Source organism: Homo sapiens, chromosome 3, assembly GCF_000001405.40.
Source record: "Homo sapiens chromosome 3, GRCh38.p14 Primary Assembly".
NCBI classification, from domain to species: Eukaryota; Metazoa; Chordata; class Mammalia; order Primates; family Hominidae; genus Homo; species Homo sapiens.
Genome location: NC_000003.12, coordinates 102,899,962 through 102,926,821, shown reverse-complemented (window position 1 = coordinate 102,926,821; position 26,860 = coordinate 102,899,962). Strand labels below are relative to the sequence as shown.

The window sequence follows — 26,860 nt, the reverse complement described above, 5'->3', positions numbered from 1 at the left end:
CATCCCCCTTTCCTTCCTTATTTGGGAACATATTCACCAATAGCCAATTGGGTCAGTTTATGTTGTGCGGTCTGACCCCAGCCCATGGGGGAGTGACACAGAGGTGGAGACTCTGCATTAGAAATAAAAACCCTTTCCCTCCTTTATTCAGTGTGCTATTTAGGTTGTGATTGACATGAGCAGCATTCTTCTGCAGAAGTAAATTGCCTTGCTGAGAAAATTTTTGCCTGAGTGCTGGTTTCACTTTGCAGCACTGAGCATTTACTTCCAACAAAAGCTAGGCTGGTCACCCAAGTTCCAATTTTTTTTTAATTTCATGTTGGCGATTATTTCCTTTTATATCAGCTCAGCAATTCATTTATAATAAATTTTTGCAGATATTTTACAATAATTTAAATTCTTTGATTTTGGAAGGACATTAAGATACATGGTATTTCTAAAACCAAAAGTTCAGAATGCTATTGCCCTTTCTATAGTCAACGAGAAAAAGTGATGTTATGAATAAATTACTGTTCATTTTTTAAGAGTACTTGCTTTGGATGATTTATGTTTTTCTAATAATAATATATGAGAAATATGTTTAAAAATCATTCTAACATTACTATTTAGAATGGGAATGACAGTTAAGCACATAATTATGCTATACTGAGGTCATGACAATTGATGGTGTATCTCACAATTTTACTTACTATCTAATTGTGACTTCACAGTGTTTAAATGGAAAAAAAACAAAAACCAAAATCAAATACTTCTGGCTTCAGATCCAACATGTAAAGAGCTTAGAAGTCATCACTACCATCTTACAGTAAGTGAAAGCTAAAGAAAATAAAAATCAACAACTTTTATGTATCAAAGAACCAAGGTAACACAGTAAACTATTATTCTGAAATCTAGAGAGACAGATGTATCTAGAGAAATAAAACTGCTAATATTTGCTTACCTAGAGCAGAAGCCACCGGAATCCTTAAGCTGGTAGGAATATTCAGATGGTTGTTTTATAAATTGCTTCAGACTGAGTGTAGAATTGCTTGAGAGTGAGGAATTCATGGGGGCTGCATTAGAAAGGGCCCTCCTACATTTACAAAGGCATTCACTCTAGGAATCCCACTGTAATCTTACAGTGCAAATCTGTTGAAGATTCGTAAATCTAACTTGGAGAAAGGAAGACTAGCTTTGTGAATCTCACCCAGACTCATTTTCCGAGCAAACGCCTGGACTTTAGGGGAAAGAGCAATTCTAAAACTTTATCTCAGGTAGGGGAAGGAAATTCTACTCCAACTCCACCCTTTTTGTCTAAGGTATTGTTAAGGTAAATAATAACAACATTAATAACAAAGTGAACAAGGGCAGGCAGTCAGGGGAATAGATAAGCAAAGCTGCACACAGTGAATGAAATAAGGGACAGAAGGAGGAAAGCTATAACCGTGGGGTAGGGACAGAAACATTTATAAATGCCCTACCCATAAGATGCAGACTTTCTAAAAGACTGAGACATAATCAGAAGATTGCACAGCAGTACCCCTCCAATACCCACTAGCACCACACCAGTAAGTCCCAAATGTAATGTTAAAGCAAACTAAATATGGCCTGAGAAGGACTCTGTACTTCTATTTTTGAGTCCTTGTGGATGAACTGCAACCTAACTTAATAGATAGACAAGATTGAAAACCTAATTTAGGAGTATGTGCCTGTAACAATCGCTGAGTCTTACCCAATCCCAGCAACCTTACTTCAACCAGTCATACACTGCTGAGGGTTCACAGCGTTCAAATAAGTCAAATGTGGAGCTATAACAAATCCAACTGTTTCTTTACCTCACTTCCAGTTTCAGTACATCAATTTACTTTTTTTTTTTTTTTTTTTTTTTTGGGCTATAAATTTGTTCTGACCATGAGGCAACCCTGGAATCCTTCTGAATCTGCTGTGATTCTGGGGGCTGCGTGATTCACAAATTATTCATTGCTCAATAAAACTCTTTTAAATTTAATTTGGCTGTTTTTCTTTTAAAAATAATAACAATGGATTAAAGCTGGAAAGCTGCAAGACACAGACTCTTTCTGAGGAGCAATACAAACAGAAGTCCCAAAGACTAGACAGGAGACAAAAATGAAGACACTAGAGGAATTTCTTCTGATTCCTAGAGCTATAACAATTTATAAAAACAGCCAAAATCCTAGCCAGATTGACTTAAATCTTCACACTGAAGGCCTATTTACCTGACATAATATTATTGGCTTTGAACAAAAATTACAAGTCATTCTAAAGCCAGGAAAAAGCAGAGTCTGAAGAGACAACAGAAACATCATATCTAGACTCAGATATGACACAGATGTTGAAATTATCAAATAGGAACAATAGGCAACATGTAAGACCAGATGTATAATGTTATTAGAGAGATGGAAACTCTATAACAGACTCAAAAAATAAATGCTAAAACTAAACACACAGTTAAATAAATGAAGAATAGATTGATGGGCTCATCACTAAACTCTACATAACTGAGGAAAGAATAAAATCAATAACTTGAAGACGGATAAATGGAAACTCCCCAAACTAAAACACAGAGAAAAGAAAAATAATTTAAAAAAAGAACAGAATATTTAAGACCCTGGGAAAATATTAAATAGTATAATATATGTGTAACTGGAATATAAAAAGGAGAAAAAAGGCAAAAAAAAACCACATGATTAATATTTGAAACAAAAATGGCCAAAATTAACGACACACAACAAACTACACACCCAAGAAACTCAGAAAACACCAAACAAGATAGTTTTTTAATGACATATTATATTCAAACTACAGAGAAACTTAAAAGAGAATACCTTTATAAATACCAGAGCAGGGGGAAAATTTATGTATAGAAAATCGAGGGTAAGAATTGCAATAAACTCATCAAAAACCATGCAAACACAAAGGGAGTAGAGTGAAATATTTTTTAAAAGCATATATTACAGTTAAAGAAAAGAGGTAAAATGGACCACTTATGATGCCAAATTCATTACAAGAAGGCAAAAAATGATGGAAAAAATTACAAAGTATTAATGAAATGAATACTGTTTTAAAAAAATAAAAAATAAAAAAATAAAAGAAGTCTCACTCTGTTGGTGTTATCCAGGCTGGAACGCAGTGGCATGATCTCAGCTCACCACAACCTCTGCCTCCCGGGTTCAAGTGATTATCCTGCCTCAGCCTCCTGAGTAGCTGGGACTACAGGCATGCACCACCATGCCTGGCTAATTTTTGTATTTTTAGTAGAGACGGGGTTTCACTATGTTGGACAGACTGGTCTCGAACTCCTGACCTCATGATCTGCCCTCCTTGGCCTCCCAAAGTGCTGGGATTACAGGCATTAGCAACTGCACCCGGCCTGAAATGAATACTTTTATTAAAAGTGTAGATATTAATTTATTGTATCAGTAATCACTCTTAATGCACATGGTTTAAGTACATTAGTTAAGAGGCAGATGATCAGATTGAATGAAAACTTAACCTAACTATATGCTGTCCAAAAGAAACACAACACACCTTAAATACAAAGTTTCACGTAAGTTAAAATAAAGAGATGGAGAAACATACACTATACTAATAATAATCAAAAGAAACCTGTAGTAGCTATTTTAATTTAAGGAAAAGCAAACTTCAGTACAACAAATATTTTCCCAGATAAAGATAATATAAATAATAAAGGGGTCCATTTTATAAGAAGTCATAACAATTCTAAACCTTTATGTGCCTATAAACAAGGCATCAAAATAACTGAAACCAAAAATAACAAAATAAAAATAACTAAATTCACTACCATAGTTGGAGACATAAACATTTCTATGCAAGTAATTGGTAGACAAAGCAGGCAGAAAATTAATAAGAATTATATGACATAGCTCTGCGAAGCATACACAAGTTTCAGTACTCAAATTGATCAAGTGGAAGAAGGGATATCAGAGATTGAAGAACAACTTAATGAAATAAGTGGAAATAAATAAGTTATTCAAAAACAATGACAACAAAGACACAATGTACCAGAATCTCTGGGACATAGCTAAAGCAGTGTTTAGAGGGAAATTTATAGCACTTAATGCCCACAGGAGAAAGCAGGAAGGATCTAAAATCGACACCCCAACATGACAATTAAAAGAACTAGAGAAGCAAGAGCAAACAAATTTAAAAGCTAGCAGAAGACAAGAAATAACTAAGATTAAGGAAGAACTGAAAGAGAGACACAAAAAAATCCTTCAAAAAATCAATGAAATCAGGAGCTAGTTTTTTGAAAAGATTAACAAAATAGACCACTAGCTGGACTAATAAAGAAGAAAAGAGAGAAGAATCAAATAGACACAATAAAAAATGATAAAAGGGGTATCACCACTGATCCCACAGAAATACAAACTACCACCAGAGAATACTCTAAACACCTCTATGCAAATAAACTAGAATATCTAGAAGAAATGGATAAATTCCTGGACACATAACACTCCCAAGACTAAACCAGGAAGAAGTTGAATCCCTGAATAGACCAATAACAAGTTCTGAAATTGAGGCAGTAATTAATAGCCTACCAACCAAAAAAGGTCCAGGACCAGATGGATTCACAGCCAAATTCTACCAGAGGTACAAAGAGGAGCTGATATCATTCCTTCTGAAACTATTCCAAACAAGAGAAAAAGAGAGACTCCTCCCCAACTCATTTTATGAGGCCAGCATCATCCTGATACCAAAACCTGGCAGAGACACAACAAAAAAAGGAAATATCAGGCCAATATCCCTGATGAACATTGATGCAAAAATCCTCAATAAAATACTGGTAAACCGAATCCAGCAGCACACTAAAAAGCTTATCCAACAAGATCAAGTCGGCTTCATCCCTGGAATTCAAGTCTGGTTCAACATACACAAATCAATAAACGTAATCCATCACATAAGCAGAACTAATGAGAAAAATCTCATGACTAACTCAATAGATGCACAAAAGGCCTTTGATAAGATTCAGCACCCCTTCAGGCTAAAAACTCTCAATAAAGTAGGTATTGATAGAATGTATCTCAAAATAATAAGAGCTATTGATGACAAACCCACAACAAATATCATACCGAATGGGCAAAAGCTGGAAGCATTCCCTTTGAAAACTGCCATAAGACAAAGATGCCCTCTCTCACCACTCTTATTCAACAAAATATTGGAAGTTCTGCCCAGGACAATCAGACAAGGTAAAGAAATAAAGGGTATTCAAATAGGAAAAGAGGAAGTCAAATTGCCCCTGTTTGCAGATGACATGATTGTATACTTAGAAAACCCCATTGTCTCAGCCCAAAATCTCCTTAATCTGATAAGCAACTTCAACCATATATCAAGATACAAAATCAATGTGCAAAAATCAAAAGCATTGCTATACACCAATAATAGACAGAGAGCCAAATCATGAGTGAACTCTCATTCACAATTGCTGCAAAGGGAATAAAATACCTAGGAATCCAACTTACAAGGGATGTGAAGGACCTCTTCAAGAACTACAAACCACTGCTCAAGGAAATAAGAGAGGACACAAACAAATGGAAAAACATTCAATGCTCATAGATAGGTAGAATCAATATCGTGAAAATGGCCATACTGCCCAAAGTTATTTATAGATTCAAGGCTATCCCCATCAAGCTACCATTGGCTTTCTTCACAGAATTGGAAAAAACTACTTTCAATTTCATATGGAACAAAAAAAGAGCCCACATAGCCAAGACAATCCTAAGCAAAAAGAACAAAGCTGAAGGCATCACACTATCTGACTTCAAACTATACTACATGGCTACAGTAATCAAAACAGCATGGTACTGGTACCAAAACAGATATATAGACCAATGGAACAGAACAGAGGTCTCAGAAATAACACCACACATCTACAACCATCTGATCTTTGACAAACCTGAGAAAAACAAGCAATGGGGAAAGTATTTTCTATTTAATAAATGGTGTTGGGAAAATTGGCTAGCCATATGCAGAAAACTGAAATTGGATCCCTTCCTTACACCTTATACAAAAAATAACTCAAGATGAATTAAAGACTTAAATGTTAGACCTAAAACCATAAAAACCCTAGAAGAAAACCTAGGAAATACCATTCATGACATAGGCATGGGCACAGACTTCATGACTGAAACACCAAAAGCAATTGCAACAAAAGCCAAAATTGAATTGACAAATGAGATCTAATTAAACTAAAGAGCTTCTGCACAGCAAAAGAAACTATCATCAGAGGGAACAGGCAACCTACAGAATGGGAGAAAAATTTGCAAACTATCTATCTAACAAAGGGCTAATATCCAGAATCTACAAAAACTTAAACAAATTTACAAGAAAACAAACCACCCCATCAAAAAGTGGGCGAAGGATATGAACAGACACTTCTCAAAAGAAGACATTTATATGACCAACAAACATATGAGAAAAAGTTCATCATCACTGGTCACTAGAGAAATGCAAATCAAAACCACAATGACATACCTTCTCATGCCAGTTGGAATGGCGATTATTAACAAGTCTGGAAATAACAGATGCTGGAGAGGATGTGGAGAAATAGGAATACTTTTACAGTGTTGGTGGGAGTATAAATTAGTTCAATCATTGTGGAAGATGGTGTGGTGATACCTCCAGGATCTAGAACTAGAAATACCATTTGACCCAGCAATCCCATTACTGGGTATATACTCAAATGATTATAAATCATTCTACTATAAAGACACATGCACACATATGTTTATTGCAGCACTAGTCACAATAGCAAAAGCTTGGAACCAAGCCAAATGCTCATCAATGATAGACTGGATAAAAAAATGTGGCACATATACACCATGGAATATGATGCAGCCATAAAAAAGAATGAGTTTATGTCCTTTGCAGGAACATAGTTGAAGCCAGAAACCATCATACCCAGCAAACACAGGAACAGAGAAACAAACACTGCATGTTCTCACTCATAAGTGGGAGTTGAACAATGAGAACATATGGGCACATGGAGGAAAACATCACACAGCAGGGCCTGTCGGGGGTGGGGGGCAAGGGGAGGGATAGCGTTAGGAGAAATACCTAATGTATATGACAGGTTGATGGGTGCAGCAAGCCACCATGGTACATGTATACCTATGTATGAAAGATGCATATTCTGCACGTGTATCCCAGAACTTAAAGTATAATAAAAAAAAGTATTTAAAGATTTTACTGGTCAAAAAAAGTATTAAATAATTATGTTTCAATTGGTTATGCTACTTCAATCTGACATATATATATGTCAAACCAGATTCAAGTAGCATATATATATATATATATATATACATATATATATATATGCTATATGTGTGCTATATATATACGTATTTTTTTCAGTTGTTTACAGTGGTGGGGATTGTAGCAGATATTATGAGAAATTTATCATTAAAATGAATAAAATATTTCCTTTAACTCTTTTGGGGGCTTCTGATTAAACTAAAATGTCTTCAACTAGTTGAATTAAGGTGCTGTCTCTTGTAATCATAGAATTGATACAATGCCTTACAGATTGTAAGTTAATAAATGCTCAACAGAGATTGCATTGACTTGATACGAGCCTCTAGTATGCATGAATAAAGAGTACAGCTCATCACAAGATTTTCAGTTTATTGAGTAAATTTTAATGCATTTTAGAAAGTTTACTTAGCACCTTGTAAGTGCATAACATTAAGCAATATATCCTCTAGACATATAAAACTGTAATAATTTTTGTACCTTAAGGAAGTTTATAACTTCCCTGTGAAAAAAAATACTAAGATAAGACAGACCAAACAAGAGAAGCCACTCCTGGGACAGTACACAAAATCCTGCAATATTTAATATATATATGTCAAATTGTGCCTGCACTAGCAGTATAGTAAGGAAAATGGAAGCCACAAAGAGAAGAAAGTGTAATTAAAAAAGAATAATGTAGCACTAATGTCAGGATTTGTCTGGAAGTTGTCTATCTTCAAAGTCCATACACTAGGGGTTAAAAGGGCCACATACAAGAAAAATGGATAAAAATTAAGCAGGAGAAGAAAGAGTATCAGCTCAGAATTCTCCACATAAGGCCAATATTCCTAAAGGATAACATACTCAGTAGGTGAATTAGGAAAACAAACAAACAATCACCAAATACATACTACAGTAGTATAGGTGACTGATTTGGCCTTGAATTGGGGCTGAGTAGAACGAAAGTTAAAAAGAAAAAAATATTTTTAAAGCATAAACTCGTAATCACACAACCTTGTGTCCTGAAATCATATAACTTGTTGCCTTAAAAGCCTAAAAAAAAATTAGTCTAATGCAGCCCCATATTGGTCTGTCCATAGGGATTTGGAGAAAAAATAAATAAATGGAAAATATTTTAAACAAAGTCCTCAAATTCTTTCTATTAATAAAATTCTAAATAGCAACCTGCATTCAAAATAAAACCATCAAGAATCACAAAACAATGAATAAGCACAAGCAAGAGTAAAACTAAAGCATCAGATTCCCAAACTGTAGACAATGGAATCATCACATAAAAATATCAAATAAATACATTTACATGTAAAGAAATAAAGAAGGTAATTGAAGTTATGTTAAACAATAAAACATCAATTTTTTTCTGAATTTTGAAATTAGCACAAACTTCCAAAAATGAAAAATATACTATATATATTAAAATTTTTATACAAATAATATTGACATAAAATAAAAATATACTACTACTAAAATATTTAATTTTAGTAATTAAAACTTCACATTAAAAGCAATTAAACACAGCTTCAGAAAGCATTAGTGAAGTAGAACATAGTTCTATAGATAATTATTCAGGAAGACAGAGATAAAAACTATAATCAGGAAGGATAGAGTGAATTTGCCCAAACTCTCTCTAATCATATTTTCAAAAGTGGAGAATCAGAAGATTAGGGAAAGGCCATAGTCAGAGACATAACAGTAAATAATATACCATGTTTTATAGAATATAACATTCTTCAGATTCAGAAAACTTAAAGAATCTCAAGCAGAATAAATAAAAAGAAAATACACAGCCATGCCAGGGCAAAATAGCAGAGCAGATGAATAAACAAAACACAAAGAAAAGGCCTTCAAAGCAATCCAAGAACAAGATCAGTTGACCTACAGAAAAATAACAGTCAGACTATTTATTTCTCAACGGCAAAAAGGGAAGCCAAAAAGAATGAAATATCTCCATAGTGATAAGAAAAAATATCTACCGAAGTATAACTATTTTTGATATGACTTTGTTTTCTTCATTCTTTTTATTTTTTAATTAAAATAAATTACTAGTTTTAATGTAGTTAAAATGTTTTATATTTTTCTTTATGGTACGTGCTTTTATGTCTTGTTTAAAAACAAACCTTTTTTATCCAGAGGATGTGAAGATAGCTTCATATATTTTCTTCTAAAGAGGTTTTGTTTTATTTAAGTCACGTAGAGAAGATTTTGCAACACACTTCTGAGGAAGGATTATATATAATCTCCTAAAATTAACTCCTACAAATAAATAAAAATAAGACAATGTAACAGAAACTGAGGAAAAGCCATAAGGAGATATTGCACACAAGAGCTTTAAAATTAATGGTGATGATTATATTTAAACTATAATGGATATTAATTTTTTCCTACTCTTTATTGGCACATACAAATATTTTTCTGCCTATGATAAACTTCATAAAGAAAATATTTATGATAATTAATATGAAATCAGTATAAAGTGAAGTATAATTAAACATCTTTATAATTGCCATAGGAATTTCAAGGAAAGACAGAGCACAGTGAACTTAGAAGAGTTGTCACATGCTTTTAGGAGCAAGGGGTTGTATTGGAAAATTTCCCTGAGGAAATAAAATGAAAGGAAGGAAGGGAGGGAGGAAGAGAAGACAGGGCCAACACAATGCATAGAAAAAGCTAGTATTCGAGGGTTGGTCAACCAATCTAAGTAAACCAATGTATAGCTGTAGCAACTGTTTTCTGTTACTAAATAGGCGTTTTTTAAGCTGTTCAGTTTGCCCTTGAAATATGTCAAATGACTCATTTCAGGTTTACCTAGAGAGTATTGTCTTTGTGTAACTCCATCCTCTTATCCCAGAAACAATCATTCTTGCATGTCATGGTTACCTCATTTAGTGCCCTTTGAGAGCTTTTGCAGGTGGGCAATATTTCACATGCAGTTTGGTTTGTATGCTGTAAACATCACTGAACAAAAACAAAACCATCAGAAAAATAACACTGGAAAGATTGGAAGCTGCTAAGGGTAGAATCATTCTCAGTTATGGGGTGGTCTAAAGGTTTGCTTTCTTGGAATCCCAAAGGGAAGCTGTTTTATGAGTGACATAAGGAGAGCACACACAGGAATGAGCTGAGGCAGAGGTAAGTTCGTATTTATGCACATTTAAGAATTGTGATTAAACGTTGATTATATTGTGTTTTACTGTAATTTTATAGAAAACAAATGGCTTTGTTAGGTGTACCTGTATACTGTAAACCATGCATATCAAATCAACCATTTACAGGCTAATTTCACTTTTTAAAAATATCAGTTAATTCTCAACAGATTGCCACAAAATTAACAAAATTAGATTATTCCTATATCAAAATAACCAATAGTTATTTCAGTACTGCATTATTCACCTGGCCTGACAAATAGCCACACAATTGACTTGGAGGGTAATACTGTGGAACACCAGTTTGCAATGAGAACAATAAATGTGTCTAATAAAGCTTCCTCCTAGCTAGATGGGCAATTAAGGAATACTGCTCTGCCAGAAAACTGTCACAGATGCAACACCTGAGCCATGTCTCTGGCTTCCTCAAACCTCTATCTGGAGAGGAAAAGAGATGATTCTTCCAAATGAAGCCTTGTCTTAGTAATCTTCTTTTCTAATGAGATCTGATAACAGCCATTGAGTCCAGCTTTTTGGCCATATTGAAGCAGTTAAATTGGCTGTCTACTTAGGCTTGAAAAAATCATGTAAATCAAGTCAACCAAAAAGATGTAGTATGCATTCTCGCACTTTGCTATGAACACTAAAACTAGGGAAAGACAATGGATAATCCAGAAAAGTCCCAATCAGCTCTGACAAAAAAGCAGCACCAAAAAAGCATTAGTTGTAGGACTAGCATTTATTAAGATAGTTAAAACTAGTTATTAGGAGAGCCATCCCATAAGAATTCATAACTCCTTTTGTTTACCTGATATGGCTTTCTCAGTCAATAGATTTTATAGATTTTTTTTGCTTCAAATTCCATCTAGACTAAGGAAAAATTATGGCCTATATTTTCTAGTAACAGAAAAAAATTGTTAATTTAAAACTTTATCCTATGTAATAGATATTTTATTCCTAAACAGGAATACTGCAGTACACACAACTAAATGTAGATTTTAACTATGTACAAATTGCATCAGATGTGTTTTTTAAAGTGTCATCATTTTATTATCCATAAGAGTACCTTCTGTTCCCTCTCCCTTTCTTCTATCTCTTTCCTTTCTCCAAAATCACTCTTGTTATCACACATACAGACTGTAATATGGGTGGGTGTTAGGATTGTGAGGACAGAGGTGCTTTATAACAATACATCACAACACACTTATGAGTTTTATCAACAGCAAGTTGGAACAGACATCCACTGTCTTCAATATCCACTGGCCCACAACACTCACTTTCATTCATTTGATTCAAAACTTTGTTTTATGAGCTGGAGGTTATAGAGAAAAGAATACGAAAGAAAGTGGTGTCACATACATTTTAGGTTTTATGATGTCATCAGTAAGTTATTGTTATGTTAATAGAAAATTCTACCATTATAGTATTTAGAACTTGAAGTTAAAAATTTAAAAGTTAATATATGAAATTTCTGAAAATAATATGTGATGAAGAATAACCTAATAATCCTAAGACACTATACTAATTCTGTTTTTTTTTTTTCATTACTCAAGTATAGTGAAATTGGTACATGAAATAATGAAGAAAAGATGCACTCATTGGTGGGAATTGAATCTAGTTGCCCTCTGTAGGCCCAATTTCTCTGCTGCAAAGAAGGCTCCTGGTATTTACAGCCATTTAAAAGAAAGGCAAGGAAATGTCCATAAAGGATTTTAATGGATTCCTAATAACATTAACTTAGCTCGATACTCTCTGCTCCTCTTAGACTGATTTTTAAAAGTTTTCCTAGAATGTGAGCAGTTCCTCAGTGTAAGTAATGATAATAATAATAAAAGTTACAATTCTCTTCCAGGAAGAAATCTAATATGGCAGTTTTTAGACAACAATGACTTACCTGACATATAATATCTAGTTTGTAGTGTATACAATGAAAAACTCTAAGAATACAATAAAGGATTTTTTTCATATTAAAAATCAATTTTACTCAAAGATTATAATAAAACTTTGGAATTTTGATAGCAAAATTTATTTTCAGACTGTTGTATAAGTCTCCTGACCTGCATATTTATAGGTTTAGTAAGGTATGTTTGTCAGAGTTACCATTCCTTTTCCATTTGTACTTATTTTTCTGGAGTAAGTCTCTCTCTCTCACTCCTTCCCTCCCTCCTTTTATGTATTCACACATATTTCTTATTAATCAGTAAACTGCATGCACACACACACACACACACACACCCAAATCCACTATCAAAATAAATAATTTCATGGTTTTATAAAACTAAATTATCTAAAGGAGGAAAGGTAAGTCAAATTGTGGTCTCATGAGCTTGTCCGAGTCCTCCAGGTACTATTATTATGTGGTGCCTGAAGATACATTTGTTACACTCTTTGCAATGTCTAAAATTTTAATTTTCCGCTATGAAGCATCTAAGGTCTGTCTGGGATAGTCGGAAATGTGTTTCTAATTGCTTTTTCCATGCAAAAAAGATACAATAGATTACCAACAACAGGACTATTAATCATCCATCTAAGTGCAGCTTCTCTTCTGCATGCAATATTTATAAGTGTTTATATACTCGTGGCTAATGCTAACAATCAATGCCTACTTGATGAGCCAACCTATATAATTGTCAAATGGCTGAAACTCACCAGAAGATTAAGTTTATCGTTGGCTTCTGTTCCAGATTGGATTTGTGATTAAAAGAAAGAGAGAGAAAGAAAAGATATCTTTTCGAAGTTTCTATTAGGAATGGAAAAGTAATCTAGCTGCATTTTTCTTGTAGATAGTAGAATCCTTTTCACCGTGTATTTTCATATATCAACTATAATAACAAAATAAGTAGAGATAATTCTTCCTGACTCTGTATTTGTGAAAGACATCTCAATGTACAGTTTCTGTGATGCTGAGATTAAACACAAAATCCAATTACTTTAATAGTTTAATTGAGAACTTTTAGGCCTTAGAAAAGTTATGCTTAGCTTTCATCGATGTGCAAATATGGTTGTGCTGCATGCCTTTTGTTATTTTTGCTATTTTGTTATTTTTGTGAGGAATATAATTCACACTCTCATAGTGATGTTCATTAACTGCTAGTCAACTTATTTTTTTCTTTTACTTTTTTTGTGTTAGTAGTAAAACTTTTACAGAGTAATGCAATTCAACCTAGGGTATTAAATTTTTTTCTTTTGTCTACTTAAATATCAAACAAGATATACAATTACAAATTTATAGTTATATTTTACATTTGATATTTTGTCAATTATTTTATTTTATTTTATGTATTTAATTTTTTGAGACGGAGTCTCGCACTGTTGCAAGGGCTGGAGTGCAATAGCGCCATCTCGATTCACTGAAAACTCTGCCTCCCAGGTTCACGCAATTCTCCTGCCTCCGCCTCCCAAGTATCTGGGATTACAGGCACACACCACCACACCTGGTTAATTTTTCGTATTTTTAGTAGAGATGGGGTTTCACTATGTTGGCCAGATTGGTCTCGAACTCCTGACCTTGTGATCCGCCGGCCTCGGCCTCCCAAAGTGCTGGGATTACAGGCGTGAGCCCTGTGCCCGGCCATCAATTATTTTACCTTATTGTGTAGAGCAACTCATAAATATGTTTATAAACTAGCATAATTTTAGTACTTATTGAACTCTTAATATGCAATTGCTTGGTTATTCAACTTAATTTTTTTATCCTAAATATTTATCTTCAAGACTCAAACCAAAAGAGTTTTGAAGTCTGTACTCAATCAATAATTTATATTTTATGTATAGCATGCCATGCCAGATTCTACAAATGATAAAAAGAAGACTCTAAGTTAAGATCATTTATCTCAAAATGTATGTTTCTTTAGGGAAAAAAGACACCTATGGCAGATTCAATACCAATATGCAAACACTACATAACTGGTCATTGAGGAAGGGCAATGGAAACTTACAAAATTATTACTGAACAGTATATTAGGAAGATAGGATCTCAGAGAAGATGGGATACACATTGCATCCAAAAAAGTTGATAGGATTTGAATGGGCCAAGGGAAGAAGAGGGCTCAGATGAGAGGGATACTGTAAAGAAAGGCTCAGAGTGGAAATGATTAGCATGGCTCAGTAGGCAGATCAAAGAGGGGGGAAAAAAGCATTTCTTTTGGAATTGCTGAAATAGCTGGAGATACGTTTGCAAAGGCAGTCAGTGAATAGATTGTATAGAGAGGATATAGAATTTCAGACTGCAGAGTTTGTGTTTTACCTTGTAATTGAAATCCATTTTAAAGTAACCCACAGAAGGTGACAGGTCAGAATCAGAATTTTACAAACATTTTTCTAAACACAGTTACAGGTTAAAAGAAAGAGTTGCCCTCCCAGAGACAAGTTAGACTACCCTCTAAAGAGTGCTGTCAAACCAATACTGTGCCAGGCCACAGGAGAGACATCCTGATGAATGCTGGAACTTGGTGAGGATTGGAGAATTTTGTTTTCCTTTTCTACTTCATCATTGTTGGAATGAGGGAACACTGCAAGGAGAAAAATTAGACTAACTAGAGCTTGGGGAAGTTACTTATTACTTGAGGAGCCTCTCGTAGGATTCTGTGCTCTCAAATCCCCAGAGCCTATTACCGACACAGATTTGTATCATTTTTCAGGACTAACATATGTGTGTTTGTACACACACACACATATGTATGCTTATATATATGACACATAGATCACACACTGGTGATGTATGGTGCTCTTAGAGTGGAGGCAAGGAAAATAGCATAAGATCACACATGTGGCCATTTCTTTTATACCCCTTAGAAATTCCACATTGTTCTCTTTCCTTCTGCTTATTGTCTACCCTCATGTCTGCCCCCAAACTCTTCTTTGCTTCTCTATTTCTCATTTTATCATCAGTTTTTATCTTTTGCCTATCTTCTCCACTTTGCTTTTGGTAAAAGGTTCAATAGAGATTAACAAGAACAGAAACAGCAAGGTAATAGTGAGTTACTTACTTCTAGAAACCTTGGAGCACTTGTGGAATATATGGATGCCTGAGAATTTACAGACTTAATTAGAACAATTAGTGAGGAAAAGTGGTAATTACAAAAAACAAAGAATGGCATTTCCTGAATAAAAATTTTCCTCTTTCTTTATGCTGTCTCTCCATGTGCAGGCTATTGCTATCATGGTTTATAAGCATAACAGATAGCCTAGACACTATGGATGGAAGCTTGGAATATCATCGGATAGAGTGGCACCATCAGAGGAATTCCTGGTATTACCAAATGAAGTAGGCATGGGAACAGTTTTTGTGACAAATATTTTGGATGTCTTCACTCTACCCCTCACCCACTGTAGGGAAGTGAAGGCATGAGAATTTGAACAGAAGAGACACCCTACTACCTGTACTTCCTACACAAGACCCAGTGACCACAGGCTCCCAGTGAGTATGATACAATCTGTTACCATTTCTTCTTACACCTGACCCCAAATTTTATGTATTCTGTAACTCTTCTGTAAATCTTTCTGGAATAGACAAATTTAAATACTACTAATAAAATACACACTGCTACATGCTATACATTCTTAATATGCACGAATGTTTACACAGATATTTTCATTTTTCTCAGGTGGCTATTTATTTTGGGTGTATTTCTAAGACATTTTGTTTCCTAAATTCATCTGATAACCTTGCAGCATAGACCATTGTTTACATATACTATAAAAAAACTAGACTCAATTTAAATTTTAAGGAGAGAAAATATGATCCCGTGAAGAAAGACTCCAAGATTTATCTTTCCATGCAAAACTTAGAATGTTTGCCACAATTTTTAAAAGTAGTACATCCTCTAGCAAGAGGTTGTACTTACCGACTGAGCAAAATCTTCAGAGATTTTTCAGCAAAAGAGTCTCCTACAGTATTTATACATCTGTTCACTATTGTTGCCAGGTATGTAGCCTTACTGATGGATAATAGAAGTTAATTAAACCTAGCACATGTTATATTTACAATATTTTAAGAATAGTGTTTGGCACAATTCTGCTGGCATTTCTTCTTCAAAAATATTTACAATTTCCATTTTGGTGGGCTGTTTAAGTATTAAAATCAGAGTTCTACTCTCTCATTAAAGTGTAAAGGCATTACCCCAGAAAGTTCTCATTGCTTAAATGACATATAAAACATCTTGGGTGGAAATAAACTTGTCCCAAGCTCTCAAAGGCAATTATGCCCATTAGTTGCAATGCTCCTTTAAGAGAGAGAGAATAATCTAATTGAATGGCCATATGCACTATTTTATTATGTTGATGCTTTGCATTTTAGCATAGTTGGCATTTGTGAAAGGAATTCTTTTGCATGGAGAAACTTTAAAATGCCCAAAACAGACAATATATCATCTTGATATGCCCTTGCTGACTTTTCATATTATGAAAAGATTTAAAGCAAGAATGCTGCTATTTGAGTAGTGAGCAATTTTTTTAAGTATAGATTTCTATCACATAGTTTCACATGCTGAAACCGAGTTGTGGCAATAGGAGATTATCAAGAGTACTGAAAAAATCATTCAGCAGTAAACAAAGCTTAGGTTAGGATAGGACAAAACTAAGTTAAATACCACCTAATGTCAGATCAAGAGGCTGATTTTCATAGAGATTATCTATAAATTTTATAAGAACTATGAAAGTGAGAATATCAAAAGGGAAAGAAGGAGGCACAGCTATTTTAATTTATTTTATGTACTATAAATCAGTTGTGGTCCCTCTGATAAAGTGATTTCACAGTTAAATTTCAGGACATAGCTAGGATGTTTAGCATAGTAATATAATATCATAATCTAATTTGTACAATAGATCCCTGAATAAATCAGTGAGCTTACACTTATTGTCTGATATTTAACCAATACAGTTTCACCAGCAAAGGTCCATGATATTGGGAAGAGAAAAGCAGTTATGAGCTATGTTTGTATACATTTTTGAAAATTAGCCATGATTATAGGAAAAGTGTGAAGTTTCTGGTTAGGATTTCTATTCACTATGAAAAATTCATAGACGTATACTTTTCTGAAACATTTCATAATAACCTTTTTTTCCACAACTTAAAATGTAATTTTAAGAGCCTTGAGAGAGAAATGTAGTAAATGATTTTTCTAGGGAGTAAAGGACTCCAGTTCAGAGTTCTCTTAAATAAATTTCTAGAGAGTTTTAAAATACCTTTTTATTTTGTGAGCTGAATTGTGTCTTCCCAAAATGTAAACACTGAAGCCCTAATTCCTAATGCCTCAGAATGTGACTTTGTTTGGAAATAAGGACTTTAGGGAACTAAGGTAAAATGGGTAACTAGGGTAGGCCTTAATCTAATATGATTGGGTTCCTTATAAAAAGAGTTTGGAACATAGACACACAAAGAAAAGACGACGTGAAGACACAGGAAGAAGACTGCATCTGCAAGCCAAAGTGGTAAGGCCTCAGAGGAAATCAGCCTCAGCATTACCTTGATCTTGGACTTCTAGCTTCCAGACTGTGAGAAAATAAATTTCTATTGCTTAAGCCACCCAGTCTGTGGTACTTCATTATGGCAGCAATAGCAGACTCATGTAATCATCAATACTGCACATTCAGTTTTCCTTGGCAAGATTCCATACTTGACTAGAAACTAGACTAAAAGAAGAGGATCATCTTCATAAAAAACTTTTTAAGAAGAACACAAATTTCTCTAGAATACGGATCCTGAAAAAAATTAGTAAGGAAGACAAAATAAAACTATTGTACTCTGATGAAATAGTATCCATTCACTTTATCCTCTATATGTTTACTTGCTCATTTTATAATGCATTTGAGCATTCCATCCACCACTGTGTGTGCTCACCAAATTTTTGTTTATTGATTGATGGAAGCCAATGGAAATATTACCTTCAGGAAAATAAAAAAGCTTCCTTGGCATCTTTTAGATAGATAACACTTTTCTAAGTACGTTAAGGAGAGTGAAACAATTATTTTGATTAATAATTCTTCTTCCTGCCTGAAAAAATGTAGAATATACTTGATAGAAGTCAGTCAACCTTTCTATAATAATAAAAATAACAATAATATGTTACTGTGTTAACGATAAATTATATAATAGTTATGAAATAATATATTTATAGTGGCATATATTTATAGTGGCAATCATCTATTAATAATTGACTATGTCAGGCACTTGCAAAGTATTCTAATATGTTGTAGCTAATTCTGTATAACTGTTTGAGGAAGGTAAAATTTTTTCCATTGAAAGATACTAAATCTGAGGATCAGAGGAGAGTAAGATGTCCCAGATCACAAAACATTCAAGAGAGAGAGCCAGGATTCAAACTATGGTCAGAATGATGGGGTTGGGAGATTCTTTATCAATATCCAATCTGCATTCCCCAATTCCCAACACATTTATTTTCTGTTTTGCTGTTGTTGTAATTTACTTTTTTCCTAGTGGGGGCAGTCATTTTTGAAAAATATGTATTAGTAGATGATTCAATGTCACTTATCTTCAGTTTATAAAGGCAGAATTATATGTTTGGAAGAGTTTCGTAGAGTTTTGTTTGTTTACAGTCCTCAATATCTGCTCATCATCCTAATTGTATTTGGTTTCCTTTTGAAAACAGTAGCTCCATCTTTCCTGCTGCCATTTCTGGTGATTGGTGCTTTCATTTCAGATCTTTCTCTCTGTACTTTGGAAGAAGTGAAGTGATCTTAACATGGCTAATTGGATTTTCTTTCTGTGACTTTGTATCTTAGACTGAAAGAAGTATAGAATAAATGACAGAATCCACTTATTTTCCATCAGGAAACTTGGGCATGACTCTCAAACTGTTCCACCTACCAAGAGTATCAGGAATAGCCTGGATTCCATTGTTTTCAAATTTGTTGTTTCAGTTTTGCTTTGTGTGTGCTGTTTTTATTGTTTTGTGTGTGTGTGTCACAAAATTCCTGTTATGATGGATTTTTTCTGTTTCTCATAATGGCATAAGTCAGTGAAAACAGAAAAAGACAAGCAATAGTCGGAAGTGGGTGTGTGTGTGTGTTGTGTGTATGTGTGTGAGAGAGAGAAAAGGAATGAAAAAGTGGAAGCAAGAGAAATAGCTTCCAACTCTTGACTGCTTAAAGTCAACTGATCATTTGTATCAACCACATATCTTCTTGATTCCAATTCAGGTATTTATAAAGGACCTTCTCCCTCAACTTTCTTATGCATTTTTAAAGTTTCTATAAAATTAGTTTAATACAGGATATTACTTTTTGTCTGGCAGGGTATTATCTCTTCCACTTATCGACATGAATTATTATGATAGGTGACTGGGATACAGCTTTTATTCCCTTATAAGTAAGCCCAGATAGCACTTTAATATCATTTCCATTGCCAGAGACACCACAAGAGCCAAAGTAAATAGGGCCCAGGAAATCTGTGAGAATGTGTTCTAATGCTGTCAAGGCATGGCAAATGTATTCCTGGAATCTAAATTAGAGCTTGAAATTATTTTCACTATAGTCCCAATATTAGACACAGTATTACAGGGTGATTTTTTTTCCAACCCAGACATCTTATGATTTTATTATGCATCAATGTATGATGATACACAGATCCAGGGTTTGGCCTGACAAGCAGACGCATTTAATGTATGTTAAACATATTCAAATAACTCATATCCACATAAACTTTTTGGGAAAAAAATGTGTATTAACATAAGGCCATCTACTTTTCATGTTTGTCCTAGAAATGAATAATCATTGAAGTAGTAGTTTTGCAATGACAATAATGTACTTATTCTGTAAAAATTTTCTTTCTACACAAATACTGTGTAGTAACTTTTTCTAGATTATTGGAAGTTTCAAGAAACAAATATATATAATAAAGACACAAAAATGGTTTGCTTACAAGTTTATTTTAGTTTGTCTATGCTATCGAGTTAACCAAAGAGCATCACAAAGCATTTTTTTTCAAGCTAATAGAAAAACTTAGCTGCCCTGCTTGTCAACTGCAATAATAATCCTGACATTCATCCCCACCCACACCACCAGACACTGTAACTTCTTAAAAACTAATTGTAAAGAAAAGTAAGGAAGTAAGCTTTGGATTTTATAAGAGAAGGTCATTTTACTTTCTGTAGTTGTGTATATGTGTGGGCCATATGCAAAATGCTTGTATTTATCTATCTTTATCAGGGAGCATTAAAGTCCAATCAGATATTAATATTTTCCTCTAACACTGTGGCAGGGATTAATAATGATATTTTTCCTGGCTCAGGCTTTATCGGTAGACTTTCTAAAATTCTGACTGTGCTCAATCCCTACTAGTCAAAGACATCTTTAAGGCTGTCTCACATGTGCACTCAAATAGTCATTACTGTCACACTCTTCCACTTTAGAAAATCTGTCCGTTCATGCATGTCTATACCTGACATTATGAGTGAGTTTATTTATGAAGAATGTTTTGGTAATAACTTCAGCCATTGTTAAGAACCATTTCACCATGTGATCTAATATGAAATGCTGTAGAAAGATGTTTGACTTTACCCTCATTTCAATTGCATTACACTCTTGTATAAGTCAGAGTGAAGGGCTATTTGTGTTCTTATTGCTTAGGTATTCTTCAAAAAGTTCTGCGCAGTTTCTGAGAGAAAGAGGAAAATATGAGTGACATACAGAGGTTGGAACTCTTACACATTGCTGATGAGACTGTAGAGTGGCACAACTCTGGAAAACTCATTGGCAGTTTCTTACCTTATCTCCCGGCAATTCCATTCCTAGGTATTTACCTGAGAAAAGTAGGAGTGAGGAGAATGTGTCCTCAAAAAACCTGTGAAAGAATAATCACAGCAGCCTTACATATAATAGCCAAAACCTGGAAACAACCCAAATGCCCACAAAAGGAGATTAGATAAACAAATTGTGGTATATTCATACAATAGATACTACCCAGAAATAAAAAGGTATGAACTGCAGCTATAAAAAACAACATGAATGAATTTCTAAAACACTCTGTTGAGAAAAATAAATCAGACACAAAAAGTACAAAATGTAACCTCTTAATGAAGCAGTCACATATCTTCAATATAGAAAGAAAGATATCTCAATTAAAGAAAGGCTTTAAAATTATTTTTACTTTATTCTCTAGGACAAATAAAAATATATAATTTCAGACAAAAATACAATGAGGTTTTTTTGGAAAATAATAGGATTATCATATAGTGGCTAAAAACATAGGTCTTGGACATAAATAGATCAAAAAGTTTGACCTACCATTTAGTAGCTGTGTGTTATCTAGAAAGTAACAACTCTAAACGTCTCATTTTCTCAGGATAGGGTTGTGATGACAGTCAAGATATTTATTCCCTCTTGAGGTAGGAGTTATTAAGAAATTATTTTAGGCAGAGAGAGGAAAAAAGGGGTCCTTGGAAGATTTTTCGCAGCTCTTGTCTAGTATGAAAGCCTTGGGTCTTAGACCCCGGCAGGCAACCTCTGATTAGCAAATACCAGCCATTGGAAACTGGGTCCACCCAACATGGCGATTCCCACCGTTGTCCTCTTGCCCTTGCTCCCACATGTGCCTGGCGACAAGCCCGCCTCCACACATCCCCACGTGTGTGGAACATCATAGTGCTCTACATTTGCATATTAAAAGGCCAGGGTGGGAGGGCCAGCTTTTTCGCGGGCTACGTGAATGACATGCCTGGTCAAACCAATCCCCTGAGCCCTATGCAAAGCAGGCAACATCTCCTCCAGCCATCAGATATAGGTAGTTAATATTACCTGAAGGCGGGGTTCCCTCTGTTAGATATGAGTTCTAAATTTCTTTTCAAAGAATTAATGTCATTATGTTCAATTCTTTGCCTTCTACTTTTAAACTTCCTCCTAAAGTAACCTTTTTCAGTTACCTACTCCACCCTGACTCATCCCAATTACCTACTCCACCCTGATTCATTCTGATCACCTGCTCCACCCTACATTGCAATCACCTGCTCCACCCTACATTGCAATCACCTGCTCCACCCTACATTGCAATCACCTGCTCCACCCTAACTTATTCCAATTACCTGCTACCTGCTCTGCCCTGACTCTCGCCAAAGCACTCACCCCATTATTCTCTTTAAATTAGCCAACTGGAATTAGTTTAGCCTATGCGGTCTAACCCTAGCCCATAGGGGAACCACACAGCAGTAGGGGCCATGTGCGTAAGGGATAAGAACCCCTTCCCCTCCGTTCTCCAAGTGTGCGCTCACCATTGCTCCATCTGTAAGGGTGCACCCTTCTATAGAAGTAACTTGCCTTGCTGAGAATTAAAAAGAAAATTTTATATTCGAGTGCTATTTCCTTTGCGGCACCGAAACTTTATATATAACACCTCTCGGCTTTGGAGCCACCCTCCCTCTGTCTCTGTACAGGGGAGCTTCTTTCTTTCTTCCCCCTTCTTTCTTGCCTATTAAACTCCCTGCTCCTTAAAACTGCTCCACGTGTGTCCATGTCGTTTCTTCTAATTCAACTGGAGATGAAGAACCCTGTTGTCTCTCCACTCATCGGAGCCCTATTACTATGAGGAGGAAGGCATTTTCTTTTTCTGTAATTTTCGTCTTTACACATCTTTAAATATAACTTCGTTGGTTTTTTTTCCTTCTATATGTGATGCACATCATTCCAATGAAAACAATTTCAAGAAATATTAAATAAAATTTAAATATAAGTTTTCTATTTTTCAACTCCCTTCTCCTGAAATAACCACAGTTAATGACGCTACATTTATTAATCCACAGTCTTTCACACAGCACAGAAATACATATATTCATATGTAATTGTTTTCCCAAAAGATGAGTTCCAAAACTTCCTTTTTCTATTTAATTCTGAGTATTCAAATAGACATGCTTCTAATTCTATCAATAATTTCCAAATTTAGTTCACAAAATATTTTGGGCAATTGCAGAAAAACGGAAATAAATGCACAACATCTTGGATAATAAAACTGAGTGAAACAGTGCTAATGTGATAGATAATATTCTGACATGTTTAGTTTAAATTCAATTATGTTAGTATTTAGCCAGAAACTGTTTTTAGTATTTAATAGAGGATTTGAGTATTTTGATAGGTAGAATGGAATATGTCAAATAAATGCCTTTGACAGATAGAAATTTTTAGACCCAATATATTTTTGTTCATTTATAACCAATGTTTCTGTGTTAAAAACGTAGATAACTCACTGTCTGTATTAATACACAAAATTCAGTAGATAATGTTGGCCAATCGACAACCAAAGAGTGAGATAGTTTCACATTCAATCTAACACAGTGATCTTTCTCTTTGAAATAAATGAATAATCTAAATGCCTCCTTAACAATCTAGTTCGTAGTACAGCTCTGAAAAAATGGAATTAATTTTTCATTCTATAATCTAAAAGTATACTGCTCAATATTATGAAGTCACTCCGTCTAATGTCTCCATTATTTCAAAATTTAAAATAATGCTGGAATTCAGGCCCTGAACAGCATAGAGATTATAGCAACAACTGCATTAATCTAGCGTTCATTGTCCTGTATGAGAAGGCTTATTTTAAGCTGCATGAAGTTTACTAGTTTATCGGTTTTTAATTACATTTTATTAAAATATGACTCTGGGGCTTCTTTTATAACCATAGAAGAACATTTGATCTTCATTTAAAAATAAAACTCTCATTTCAAAATCCCAATGCTTATGGGAAGCAGAATTAAATGCTCTTATTTTTTTCAAGTTTTTATTATAATTGGGATTAAATACCAATAAATTTATGTCTGAATTTTATAATCTCCTCATGCAATATAGAACGCAAGCTGAACTCTTTGTGTCTACTGTTAAAATTACTTCTTAAAGTTAATTCCATATCCATTATTCTTTTTCTTCTAATTGAGTTGCCTTAACTTCAGTAAATTGCCCTGATGACCAGATTTCATTAGCATGTGCATAAATTCTCAGCTGCGTGTCTTGGCAATTTATCTATACTAGTAATTTCTGATTTCTAATAGCCCAAGAGAATACAATATGGTTGTTGTCTTCTTTGTGTTCTAAGTGATCATAAAATAAGACTCATGGTTCAGCCAATGGATTAGAGGTTGGAACTAATAAGGATTGCTTCCAATTTTGAGTTTCTTGAGATAAGAGACTCTTAGTTAGATGTGTATTTTTCCATAGTGCCTATATAGTGCATTATACTCAGACAACTAATACACTTTGAATACTTGAATTGAAACATAGTTAATGGAAAAATATAGAGTATTATTTAGTGTAATATGTATCTAAAACCTTATATTCCCAAATGGTAAGCAGTCATGTGGTTAAGGGAGCAAAGAAACACCCACAGGTAACTAACATCTTTGAGCTTTGATACCTTATTTTTCTCCCCTATAAACAAGAATAATAGAAATCATAGAAACTACTTCATAAAAGCATGGTGAGGATTAAAAGCAACACCATAAATGAAGCCATTCAATATTTTCTGATACATAATATGCACTCAGTAAGAGTAAGGTATTAATAAAGTATAATGACTCTAGGACTTGGGAGAAGAGGAGTAACATAATATTTTTTGAATCCCTGTTATAAATGTAAAGCATTATGATAAGTGCTTTCTTAGGTAACTTATTTTTTCCTCATTAAATAATCAAGGATTCATATTATAAATAGAAATTAGAATTCACTAGAGTTATTGTTGCTTACTGAGATGTGGTTAATAGTATAAAGTTGATGAGGTTCCAGACATGCTACTCCAAAATATGGTATTTTCGCATTTCAGAAAATAACAAAAGCAGGAAAGCCACTCTCATCTTTTTCTGGTCCTTCTCTTCTGAAGCAGTTTATAAAATCTTCATTCCAGAGGTGCCCACTCCATACCCAAGGAAAAACAATATCCTAATCTCTGAAGATAACAGAGAAGAATCTGAACAAATAGGCCCTTCTATGTTCCCTCCAGTTTATTACCATTTGATTGGACCTCATTTGTCTAATCACACTTCTCTACAACTATCCATTTCTTCACCAAACTAAATGTAAAAAAACACAGGTTTCCCTGTTTATTTGGGTCTTGATTTCTGAAGCCTCCCAAATTACATAAAACTTATATAAAATAAATGTCTATGCTTGTTAATCTGTCTTTTGTTATAGGTGCCTTAGCTATGAACCTAGTAATGAGTAGGGAAAGAAATCTTTCCTCCTCTACAGAGTTCAAACCCAGATCCTCTGAGACCAGAGAACTTGCTCTTTCCTTGATACCTTGAACCTAAATGCTGACACTTGAGGGCATGAAGACATAGAGTAAAAGGGAAAGAGGTGATGATGCATGAGTCACTAGCTTCTATTTTCAAATTCATGGTGGATTGTCTGGGATGTTCATTTTTAGACAAATTTCATTTGTAGGTGGTGGGAAAAATCATTACAAGTTCAGATGCTGGCTTAAATATCAAACAGTATCTATTTATACACACCATGGTAAGCACTTCACATTAACTATTGCTACTATTTATAATGATGTGATTGAAATGTAATTATTTATTTTATAATTCTGAAAAAACCGTGAAATGGTTACAGACTGTTGAGGTCAGTCGTCTCACTATAGTGCCTTTGTACCTTCCTTCCCTTCCACTGTTGCTCATGATAATGGCAAACCCAGCTGACTAAAGTCACAGATGAAAAAAGGCACTGACAATTAATAATAGTAAGAACTCTGAAAATATTACATTTTATGAAAATTCTAAATTGAACAGTCAAACCTTTATGGTTGAGTACAATAGACAGGATACTCTCACCACCTAATGTAGTCTCTAATCTAGTAAAAAACAAAAATTTCAGCTATTTATAAAAATTACTTACAGCACTTTAATTTTAAAGCTTTCAAAATGCAGAGACCCACTAACAAGAATCATTTTTACTTTAGAGTGTTCAATGTTATATCATTTAATGCGACTCCTGGGTTTTTATATTTCCTTTTCGAGTTCCTAACATGTGAGAATCTTATGACAAAAATATCATTCTCACACTTCTAGTCAGCATGTTTTTTATATGAGTTTACAGTAACACAACAGCAAAGGTTAAATTTCACATTAAACTTTCTTTGCTAGTAGTTTTTTTAAGAACTTAATCTTATGTCTACTTAGAGCATTACATTTCCTTATAGAGAAAGATACAGAAGACACAAAGTTTTAAGTGAATATTTAGAAAGTTTTAGATTAGGAAACTCTTTTTCCAGAGATACTCCTAATGTTCTTTGAGGATCCTCAGTAACCTAACACATTCAAGATTTTGATTCTCATAATGTTGTCTTAATTCCACAGACAAATGAGCCAGGCCTCTGCTTATTCTTCAACACGCATATCACATCACCCTAGCAAGAAATGGATTTCCTCTGCATTATTGTTTATCTGGAGAGAATAACAGTTCACAAAGTCCAATCAGATCAAAGCAACTTCATGATCGAATTAAGCCTCACATGG

At 34.2% G+C, this 26,860-nt stretch overlaps 1 long non-coding RNA gene across 2 annotated transcripts; it reads left to right on the top strand.

Annotated features, from left to right (window-relative positions):
- The first annotated feature begins 763 nt into the window (after positions 1-763).
- LOC105374018 (uncharacterized) lies at positions 764-26,823 on the top strand. 2 transcript variants are annotated; one of them, XR_924298.2, is made up of 5 exons: positions 764-805; positions 10,338-10,395; positions 14,740-14,860; positions 15,559-15,828; positions 26,702-26,823. It is a non-coding gene; the product is annotated as an uncharacterized LOC105374018 (long non-coding RNA). The 2 variants fall into 2 exon arrangements; XR_007096268.1 differs by lacking the exons at positions 764-805; positions 10,338-10,395 and adding an exon at positions 12,023-12,218.
- The last annotated feature ends 37 nt before the right edge of the window (positions 26,824-26,860 follow it).